This window comes from Homo sapiens, chromosome 4 (genome assembly GCF_000001405.40).
Source record: "Homo sapiens chromosome 4, GRCh38.p14 Primary Assembly".
Lineage (NCBI taxonomy): Eukaryota > Metazoa > Chordata > Mammalia > Primates > Hominidae > Homo > Homo sapiens.
This window is the reverse complement of record NC_000004.12, coordinates 169,639,741-169,651,870: the sequence shown is the minus strand read 5'-3', so window position 1 is coordinate 169,651,870 and position 12,130 is coordinate 169,639,741. Positions and strand designations below refer to the sequence as shown.

Genomic DNA, 12,130 nt, shown 5'->3' with positions numbered 1-12,130 from the left:
AGGTGCTGGTTTTTCCAAGGAATTTCCTCTGTATTTCAGAACTGTGTAAAATAGGTCCATAGACTTATTATTTTATGTATAATCAATCTTCTGTATCCAGGGATTCTACATCTGTGGTTTCCACATATGTGGATTCAACCAACTATGGCTTGAAAATATTTAGGAAAAAAATGGATGGTTGTTCTGTACTGAACATGAACAGGCTTCTTCTTCTTGTCATGATTCCCTGAGCAATACAGTAGCACAACTATTTACACATTTACATTTTATCAGGTATCATAAGTAATCTACAGACAATTTAAAGCATATAAGAGGATGTGTGTAGGTGATATGCAAATACTATGTCATTTTATATAGGGGACTTGAAAATCCATGCATTTTGGTACCTGAGGGGCTCCTGGAGCCAAACTCTCACAAATACCAAGAAATGACTATATTTGCTTCAGCTTATGATTTTACAGGTTTAGCACATAACTCCTCCAGCCCTTTTCAACTGAAATTCTTAACCAGAACCACAACACAAAACATGAAGCTTGAAAATTTTCTCAATTCTCCCAAGGACAGTTCATAGGTAATATTCTACATGCACAGAAGAAAAGTTAATTTGTCGCATCATGATATTAGGGTGAGAAAGGTAGAGTGAAGAGGTAATCATTTTAGTTAACTTTCTTTGAAATTTTTTTAAGAAGAAAAATTTTTTTTGCAATGCAATGACAATAATTAAGGTGGTAAGTGAGGTATAAACCACCAGTTTCTGTATATTATAAAATTAAGCTGATTTCTTTCCAATGACCTTTCTGATGATATCTATCCAGTACTTGATTGACTTTCCACTGGCATCTTAGGCTAATTTTATCAAGGCACCAGTTTATTATTAATACCAACTTCTTTCCTAGTTCATTAGTAACATCCTGAATTACAGCATTTCATAAACCTAGTATGAGTTTGTCTTCCCTAAATGCATTACCTTACTCTTATATAAACGCACAAATTTGGGCAGTCTCCTACTCCCTCATATAAGTATAATAGGTTAACTAAGTTGCTCTGGCTGAAGCAGTCTGGAGACACAGGTGTAGAAATGTTTACAAAGTAGTTGGCAACAGAATGTGAAGTGTCAAATGTATTAAGAACATGACCCTGCTTAGAATAAATATCAGATGAACTTTAGAATTATTTGTTTATTTCTAAAAATAATTCAGAGTAGAGCATTTAAAAGAGCTCTGACCTTTTCCCAACAGACAGACATTAAATGGTAGCAGTGATATGTTAACTTCATTTAAGAATTTCTTACAAAAACTCTGCCAAAGATTTACAATGTAACCACCATTCTATACTTTCTAAACTGGCTTAAGAATATATGTTGTCAAATTTGACTTTAGAGTCAAATGTCTTACTCATTAGAATACTACCAATGTTATTGGAAAATGCCAGATAAAACAATAAAACTAAAATCAACTTGTCATCTACTGAAGACAATATGCGCACACATAACCTTTGAAACTCTGTAGCAAAGCCAAATTCTTCTAACTAAGAATACTTTTCTTGGAGCTATACCACAACTTTATACTGTTGGAAATTTTTCTGTGCTTATAAATCTACATACGAGAATACTGTGTTTCCTAAAACACCTTTCTTGGATTGTTTTATTAATGTTTTCTACCAGCAGTTAATATCAAACAAAGAGCTTCATTATTCTTAGTCACAGAAAGAACCAACTCAACTGTTTTATCAGCACTCAGACTATCTTTAGCAACAATTCCACCACTCATTTTTTTTTTCTCTTAGATAGGGTCTCGCTCTGTCACCCAGGCTGGATGGAGTCCAGTGGCATGATCATGGCTCACTGCAGCCTTAACTTCCCAGGCTCCAGTAATGGTCACGTCCCAGCCTCCCAAGTAGCTGGGACTACAGTCGTGCACCACCATGCCCCAGCTAATTTTTATATTTTTTGTAGAGACAAGGCCTTGCCATGTTGCCCAGACTGGTCTCAAGCTCTTGGGCTCAAGCAATCTGCCCGCTTCGGCCTCCCAAAGTGCTGGGATTATAGGCATGAGCCACCGCGCCCAGCCTTTCACCACTAATTTTCAAAACATCATATTCACTACACATTAACAGATGTTTTATTTCTGGGAACTGAAAATACATTTGTGTATCTGATTATTATGCAACCATTAAAAATGATTAAGCTCTTGCACCATAAGGCAGTGTTTTATATATTAAAAACTCTCTGCCTTATAAATGGCACTACCAACTGCATGTGCTAGAAATACAGAACATTTATCCTTATACTCCCTCATTCTACATCAAAACAATCAGTATATCTGGCTGATTTTACTCCTAAATCTATTTTGAATCTCTCTACTCTCTATCACTACCTATAGTCCTAGACACTATAATTTCTTTTCTGAACTATTATATTTACCTCCATACTCTCACCACCTAACAGTCCATTTGCCCACATGGCCTCTGAATGATCTTCTTAAATTACAAAGTTCGTATGATTCCCTTGATTCAAAAATCTTCAGTGGTTTCCCACCACTCTTGGGGAAAAGTACCAAAAACTTTACATGTATTATTTAGACCTTGCTTAGCTACGTCTTCAGCCTCAGTCCCTCGCTTTCTAGTTATCATTCTCTGCACTCCAGACATTTTACCTCTAACGCTCCAAGTTCCTTCCCTCTGCCTGCAACTGCACCTGTACAAGCTCCTAGCACCTCCAATGCCCTGCTTCCTTCTTTCACATGCCTGACTTGTATTCGTTTTTCAGTTCTCATCTTAAATAATACATATTCAATTTTGATTTCCCCACTTATATGTTCTCACATTCATACTTTTTTTTTTTTTTTTAGATATTCTCCCTTTATCACCCAGGCTGGAATACAGTGGCACCATCTCAGCTTACTGCAACCTCTGCCTCCTGGATTCAAGCGACTCTCGTGCCTCAGTCTCCCGAGTAGCTGGGATTACAGGTGTGCACCACCACACCTGGCTAACTTTTGTATTTTTAGTAGAGACAGGGTTTAGTCACATTGCCTGGGCTGGTCTCGAACTCCTGGCTTTAAGTGATCCATCTATCTTGGCTTCCCAAAGTGCTGGGATTATAGGCATAAGCCACTGTGCCTGGCTGACATTCATACTTCTTTACAGCCCTTATCGTATCACAGTTGTAACTTTTTTTGTGAGATTGTTTAATAGTACCCTCTATCACTAGAGTATAAGCTCCATAAGAGAAGGACACATCATTCTTCTTCACTGCTCTATCATTAGCACCTACCAAGATGTCTGGTCCACAAAGGAGTCTAATAATTATTTGCTGAGTGAAATACACATAGAATTAAGTCTAGAAAAAGACATATCCAAATAATCAGTTATCTCTGGGTGGTAGGATTATGGGTAGTTTTCATTTTCTACCTTATATTTTTCATCATTTATATTTTCTACAATAAGCACATTTTGCTTTTATTATTTAAAAGTTAACTCCAGTCCATTTTTAAAAATAAACTTCATTTTGGAATAATTTTAGATTTATGAAAGTTGCAATGATAGTACAGAGATGTCCCAAATACCTCTCATTCATAGTTTCCCCAATTGTTAACACGTTACATTTCCATGATACATTTGTCAAAACTAAGAAACTTGACATTTGTATATTAAGTAAACTCCAGACTTTACATAGATTTCAGCACCTTTTCCATGAGTGTCCTCTTTCTATTCCAGGTCCCAATACAGGATCCACATTGCATTTAGCTATCTTGTCTCCCTGAACTCCTTCGGTCTTAGTTTTTCAGTCTTTCCTAGTTTTCATGATCTTGACTAGTCAGGTATCCTGTAAAATGTCATTCAGTCTAAGCTCATCAGTTGCTTTTCTTATGATTAGACTAGGATTATGGGTCTTTGGAAACACTATCACAAAGGTGACATGCTCTTCTTGTCACATATCAAGAGTACATGATATCTATGATTTATCTCTGGTGATATTAATGTTCACTATTTGGCTAAGATAGTGTTTTCCAGGTTTTTCCCTACTCTATTCTTTGGAAGTAAGTCACTAAGTCCAGTCCACCCTCAAGGGAGGTAGGAATTGAGCTTCTCCTCCATAGAATGGAATGGGTACATAAATTATTTGATGGGAGATTTGTCTCTTTTGCCTCATATTTATTCAATCCTTTATGTCAACTTATATCCTTTATATCATATATATGGGATTATTTTATACTTTGAGTTATAATTCATGCTACATTATTTTTGTTGCTCAAATTATTCCAGCTTTGACCCTTAGGAGCTTCTTCAGGTAAGTTCCTGTGTTCCTCTGATGTGCCCCCATCCTTTGTTTTATGAGTACTTCTTCACTCCTGGTACTACAAGACACTCTGGCCACATCTTGTATTTCTACTCTCTCAGTCCTAGACTCTGCCATTTCTCCTAGGCAATCCAAGTCATTACTAAGACCTAAAGTTAACTATATAAGATTTTTTTTTCTTGAGATGGGGTCTTGCTCTGTCACCCAGGCTGGAGTGCAGTGGCTGATCTCGGCTAACTGCAGCCTTGACCTCCCCAGGCTCAAGTGATCTTCCCATCTCAGCCTCCTGCATATTGAGGACCACAGACAAGCACCACCATGTCCAGCTAATTTTTCTATTTTTTGTAGAGACAGGGTTTCGCCATATTGCCCAGGCTGGTCTCGAATTCCTGGGATCAAGAGATCCATCCACCCACCTCAGCCTCCCAAAGTGTTGGCATTACAGGCATGAGCCACCACGCCCAGCCAACCATATAAGATTTTTATGAACCCAGGATAATCTATCTGAATGTCATGATGTAGGTAGTCTGTTTGATAGCTGCAGAAAGTATAAGTAAGTTTAAACTTTGGGCACTCAGGCTAAAATTATCATAAAGGACTCTCACATATAATATTAAATAGCAACACTTCCATCATTTCTTCTACCGTATTCTTTTGTTTCCAAAACTAATCTGAATCAGGTAGGTAGAATAGATATGTTTCCCTTCATTTTTTAGATGAGAAAATCTAAAAGGGTGTGATGACACTGACTAATGTCAGGCAGGTAGCCATTTTCCTCTGTGGTTTTCTCCTGGCTTTCTATTCTATCCCTATTTCCTTCTGGATTACACTACCATTTTGGTGGGCCCTTATGCAATACAGTTTAACAATATAGATAAGTGGCTTATATCCTGCTACTCTACTGAATAACCCACCAGTTTAGTGTCCAGCTAAACCAAAACTTTATATAACTGTATTAGTTCGATAATTTAAAAGGTCTGAGTGCTGTGGCTCACGCCTGTAATCCCAGCATTTTGGAAGGCCGAGGGGGGCAGATCATTTGAGGTCAAGAATTCGAGACCAGCCTGGCCAACATAGCGAAACCCATCTCTACTGAAAAAAAAAAGTATAAAAACTTAGCTGGGCATGGTGGCACATGCCTGTAGTCCCAGCTACTCGGAAGGCTGAGGCACGAGAATCACTTCAACACTCCACCTGGGAGGCAGAGGTTGTAGTGAGCCAAAATATCACCAGGGCACTCTAGCCTGAATGACAGAGTGAGACTCTGTCTCAAAAATAATAATTAAAAAGGAAAAAAGACTCCTAAAAGGTATAAAATATGAGCAGTGAATATGTTGAATAGATGACTATTTTACAAAGAAGTAAACTCTTAACGAGCTCCTACTCTATGCATGCCAATATATTAGACATTTGTAAGAAGGAAGGATAAAATAAACAGTATATATGGCTGCCCATTATATATGAATATCCCTTCCCCACAAAACTTGGAAATAGAAAAAAATAAGAATGCTCATCAAGAGTTAAACTATGTAATCAAAATGTAATGAATCAGCTCTAAACAGAACTATGTACATAGGAAAATAAATTACTTACAAACTAACAGAAATTACTAGGATAATTTTACTGAAAAAAAATGTGTTGCTCAATTTAGGAGGAGGGCAGGCTATAAACAAGTAAGACAAATACAGATAAAGTCAAGAATGCAAGCACAATAGAAGCAACACCCAGTTTACTACATACGAGGGGCCCTTAACTTTAACTGAGTAGTAAGGTAAGGCTTACTAAAGGGACTGAGGGCTAATTTAAGAAGCAAAGTAAAAGTAGTACTTTAGCACTACTTGGTATTGGAATACTACTAGTATTCTAGACAAAGGACCATGTATAAAGACCTGGAAAAATGACAGCCAGGCACAAGCTCAAACCTAACATTTACAAGGGCCAGGGCAATAGTACAACAGAAGGCCCAATTACCATATGGACAAAATATTTAGTTATACATCAAGTTTAAACTATTAATATGTTCTATCCTATATACAAATATACCTCGGAATGACCTGGAAGTTTAAATTCAGTTTTCTAATTCTGCAGCCAAATTGCTGACAATTTGGAAAATACTGAAAGTATAAAGAAAAATTATAAATCCCCAAATTCCATCATGAAGAAAAAGCACATTATTTTGGTGTATTTTCCTCCAATGTTTTTTCTGTGTGTGTATATAATATTTGAAGAGAATTGGGAAATCATATATGTAGATTTTACCCTTTTTATATAAACCCTTCACTCTTAAAGTTTTTAATACAATATAACAAGTCACCTTATTCATGTACCCAGTGTGCATTTGGCAGCTAGCTTATCTTAGAATTCTCAAAGTGTGGTCAAGAATTGTCGAGAGACCCCAAAAATCTTTCTCAGGGGTCCACAAGGTTAAAAACAACACTTTCGATAATACTAAGATATCCGTGTCCGTTTCCTACTGTTATCGTAACACACTGCCATAAACTTAGTAGCTTAAAACAACACAAATTTATTTTCTTATAGTTCTGGAGACCAGAAGTCTAAGATCAAGGTGTGTCAGCAGGGCAGTGTTCCTTTTGGAGGCTTCAGGGGAGAATCTGTTTCCTCGCCTTTTCTAGCTTCCAAAGGCCACTTTCATTCCTCGGATTATGGCCTTTTTCTCACATGACTTCTTGTTTCCATTATCATGTCTGCTACCACTAACTCTGATCCTCCTGCCTCCCTCTTTTAAGGACCCTTGTGATTACATCAGAGATACCCAGATAATCCAGGATAATCACTCCATCTCTAGATATTTAATCACAAAGTCCATTTTAACATGAAAGGTAACATATTTACAGGTTTTGGGAATTCGGGTGTGGGGATGGCCATTATTAAGCAGACCATAACATTCTTTGTCTTGTTCATTGTATTGGCCTTTCATTTATAGTACAAAAGCAATAGTGAGGAAGACAGCTTGATATCTAGCATAAATCAAAACAGTGGCACCAAAATTTACTAGAACTTGTTGTATTGGCCAGGCACGGTGGCTCACGCCTGTAATCCCAACACTTTGGGAGGCTGAGGCGGGCGGATCACTTGAAATCAGGAGTTCAAGACTAGCCTGGCCATCTCTACTAAAAAGACAAAAATTAGCCAGGCGTGGTGGTGTACATCTGTAATCCCAGCTACTCAGAAGGCCAAAGCACGAGAATTGCTTGAACCCGGGAGGCGGAGGTTGCAGTGAGCCAAGATCGTGCTCCGGCCTGGGCAACAGAGGGAGACTCCATCTCAAAAAAAAAAAAAAGAAAAAAAAAAGCAGTTGTTATATTTTTCATCAACATGAATTTGCAGAAAACAAAAGCCTGTTTCACTTCCAAATGTTCTTGATAAAACAGTAAGTATTCATTTTATTAAATCACAACTCTTGAGTACACATCTTTTTAATATTCTGTGTAACAAAGTAGAAAGAACGAACAGAACACTTTCGCTCATACTGTTGTACAATGTTCCGTCCTGAGGAAAAGCACTTATCTGAATATTTGAGTTGTGGGCTGAACATTTTTCATGGTACACCATTTTTCTTTGAAAGAAAAACTGACACACTCACTTTAGTTATTTAGGCTAAAGATTTTGCCAGACATTTTCTCAACCTGTCTTTTCAAGTAAAACAACTGACAGTATATTGTTGCCAATAAAAAAAATTTGAGCTCTCAAGCAAAAACTAAATTTTGGAAAACTTGTATTCACCACTGTGAGCCAGACAGCTTCCCAACACTTTGGAAGGCCGAGATGGGAGGATCACTTGAGCCCAGGAGTTCGACATCAGCCTGAGCAACATAGTGAGATACCCCATCTCTACAAAAAAATTAAAAATTAGCTGGGTGTGGTAGTATATGCCTATAGTCCCAGCTACTTGGGAGGCTGAGGTGAGAGGATCACTCGAGTCCATGGAGGTCGAGGCTGCAGTGAGCTGTGATCATGCCACTGCACCCCAGCCTGGATGACAGAATGAGACCCTGAATTTTTTTAAAAAAATTATTTTGAGGCCAGGCGCAGTGGTGCACGCCTGTAATCCTAACACTTTGGGAGGCCGAGGCGGGTGGATAACCTGAGGTCAGGAGTTTGAGACCAGCTTGACTAACATGGTGAAACCCCGTCTCTACTAAATACAAAAAATTAGCCAGGCATGGTGGTGCGTGCCTGTAATCCCAGCTACTTGGGAGGCTGAAGCAGAAGAATTGCTTGAACCTAGGAGGCAGAGGTTGCAGTGAGCAGAGATTGCGCCATTGCACTCCAGCTTGGGCAACAAGAGCAAAACTCTGCCTCAAAAATATATATATATTTTATTTTGAATGAAGACTCCTGACTTTGCCCATTGGCATAGCCTTTACTTTTCATTAAGATGACTTCTGGTGGCTTCTATTCAGTCTTACATTCAGCTGGGTTGTGTTCTGTTGCTAAAGAAAAACTAGCTAAATGTAAATAATATACTCTTTTATAATATAGCTCTGTTATAATTCTAAAATCACTGTTACCTAATATATATCAAACCTCAGAAAAAATATACATTGATGACCTCCTGAAACTCTCTATACAGTCCATCTATTCGAAGATAGTCTAAAATACACCTATGAATCCTACCAGAACATCACAAATAATCAATGTTTATACTATATAATAATGGTGTCATTGTGGAATCTTGTGATTCAAGTAGGAGATATTGAAGAATGTTAATAATAAAAGCCCTGTGAGGACGGGCACGGTGGCTTACGCCTGTAGTCCCAGCACTTTGAAAGGCCAAGGCAGGTAGATTGCTTGAGCCCAGGAGTTGCAGACCAGCCTGAGCAACATGGAGAAACCCCGTCTCTACAAACAAAATACAAAACAATTAGCCAGGTGTGGTGGTGCACACCTGTAGTCCCAGCTACTCAGGAGGCTGAGGTGGGAGGATGGCTTGAGCCTGGGAGGCAGAGGTTAGAATGAGCTGAGATCGTGCCACTGGGTGTGACAGAGTCAGACCCCTGTCTGGCAAGAGAGCCTGGGCAACAGAGCCAGATCCCATCTCAAAAACAAAAAACAAAAAACAAAGCCCTGTGAAATTTTACTGCTTACTCCAAGCATATTCCTAAAAATCACTGTTTCATACACTAGCTAGTAAACACTTCATAATGTCACCGGAGATTTATCTTAATATTAGTAATAGGGTGTCTGCTGAACAATTGGTTAGGTTTTTGTTTTATAAACACTTTGAATCATTTAACTAAACAGGTTCTTTTATTTACTTGCTGCTATGAAGTTTAGAGGCAAATTTGTAGTCTCCTCTCAAGAAGTATACTGGTAAATCGGGCATGGTGGATCACACTTATAATCCCACCACTTTGGGAGGCTGAGGCAGGAGGAGAGCTTGCGGCCAGGAGTTTGAGACTAGCCTGGTCAACATAGTGAGATCCCATCTCTACAAAACATTTTTTAAAGTTAAAAAAAAAAATAAATTTTAAAATGTATATTGGTAACTTTTATTGGTCTCATATCTACATTTTACGTCACCTCAAGTTGTTTTCCCTTTGCTTCATCTGTGTCAGATACTTATGCAAATGATTGAATTCTGTTTATCCCTTTAAGTTGCTTTATATCCTTTTTTGGAATGAAGTAGATTATTAGTATATTTCTCACTATAAATACATTTGTATTATGGTTTTACCTAATGAGATCTAAAACCCTAGTTAATATGAATCCGCCTCTTAGAGACAGCTAGTTTCATGTTGATGCCATGTTTCTGCGTTTACAGGAGGAAAGGCTGGACCCTGTATTTGTGTTGTGTACCCTCACTCTAGGAGGTGTCTTCACACTAAGAGATGGCCACTCAGCTTCTGGCATTATCACTCTGCATCTACTTTGCCAAGCTTCTTCTTTTGAAACGTCTTGTGTAGGCAGTAGTTATGAATATGCCACCCAGAAGAATACCAGATGAATAAACTTACAAATATTTTGAATAAAGCTCAATCTAACAATAGATATTTGAATGAAAATACTGGAATCTCTTGTAATAGCTCAGAAGGTAGCTTAAGTTTTAGCACAGGTGGTAGGATCACAACACCTTGACCAGGACAGTCCACCTCTGAGCCTCGTCTACTATGTGGTTTCTGAGTTCTGAAGCTCAGAATGTTACATATATGGGAAGTAGAATATAATAATCTATGTAATTTCTCTGGATTCCATTCCCAGTTATCACATGCCCCAAGATTCCCAATAAATCAGAAAACCTCACATTTGCATTTTAGTATTTCCAAAGGTTTTTTATTTTTATTTAGAGACTGGGTTTCACTGTTGCCTAGGCCAGAGTGCAGGGGCTATTCACAGGTGCGATCATAGCACCCCACAGCCTTGAATACCTGGGCTCAAGCAATCCTCTTGCCTCAGCCTCCCAAGCAGCTGGGACTACAGGCACCCAGCTTCCAAGGCTGTTTTTATTTTTATTTTTTAAAGTTATGTATAGATAGGAAATCAAACACTTAGGAGTGAGCCCTCTCAACTCTTACTCCTCTCACATTTCCCTCTCAGTCTATACATAATCAGAAACCTGGGAGACCCTTGATGTTGTCAAGTAAACATTTCAGGTGTGATAAAAAAGGATATAGGCGCCTAAATTTTAAACTTACTAGCATAATCACGTTATCAACATAAATTAACTACTGAAAGTTAATTTGCTTAAACATGGCTGATCACAGTTTTTACCCCATCAGTCAATCTCAATAACTTCTCTTACTTCAAGTGAAGATAGTACTATCTATTATAAGAATAATTCTAAAGCTGCACTCATGAACAGTCATGTGCTTCATTTTCAATGAGTCAAGAGCCATATGGTTCTCTTTAATGAATACAACTCTGGCAACAAAATCTTGGCTCTCCCTTCCTGTTACTTGCAATAAAAAAATTTTGCATTTTCCATGGAATCTGAATTATTGACCAAAATGACTCATTCAAATTAGATATACCTAATATAAACACATTTCAGGCCTACTTTTTCAGCTTTTTGCTAGCTGACATTTCTGACTGATACTACTAGTCATCATTATACAGAATAACTTCTATTTTTTAATCAGTGTACTCTAGATTGTTTAGCACTCACTCTGAGCAGATTGATTACATTTTTGAGATTATTAAGTACACATAGTTACTTTCAAAGCAAGGGCTATGCAACAGATATCTACTGAAGTCAGTAGATTCCAAAGCAGTTTATCTCTGACAAGCTAAATCCTAATCCAGATGTCATATTTGAGTTCTAGAGCTACAGCTTTTCATTAATACTAGTAGAGATGTTACTGACATCTCATTTGAACATGAACATAAAAGAAAACTGCTTACGTTGGGGGTACAGAGTCTAACATATCCAAAGGGAAAGTAATCTAGAAGAAAACAGAAACAGCTACTATTTAGTGAGTCCTTACCTTACCATAAGCCAGTCACACTGCTAAGGATTCTATATGCATTATTTGTTAAGATCTCTATATGCATTTAATTCTCAGAGCAATCATTTAAAGACTTTATTATTTAGGAGTTTACTACTATGTTGTACGTGGGAATAAACTGAAGTATAAACAGGCTATGTGACTTGCCAAAAGTTAGAGAGAGAATAAGTGACAGAACCAGGATGTAAATTCAGGTCACCAACTTGAAAGCCACTGAACATCATGGATTTTCATTCAACACATATTCAAAAAAACACTATCAGTACCTTCTGGTAATAGTTATTTTTTGGTATGCTAAAAAGATATGGAGTCACGAAGAATTACTGCTTGACTTACTAACCACTTCCATACTCCCCAGATACTG

At 37.8% G+C, this 12,130-nt stretch overlaps 1 protein-coding gene across 4 annotated transcripts in view; it reads right to left on the bottom strand.

Moving 5' to 3' along the window:
* Positions 1-12,130, bottom strand: part of CLCN3 (chloride voltage-gated channel 3) — a 103,096-nt gene that overhangs the window by 71,803 nt on the left and 19,163 nt on the right. The gene's annotated exons all lie outside the window — the stretch shown is intronic.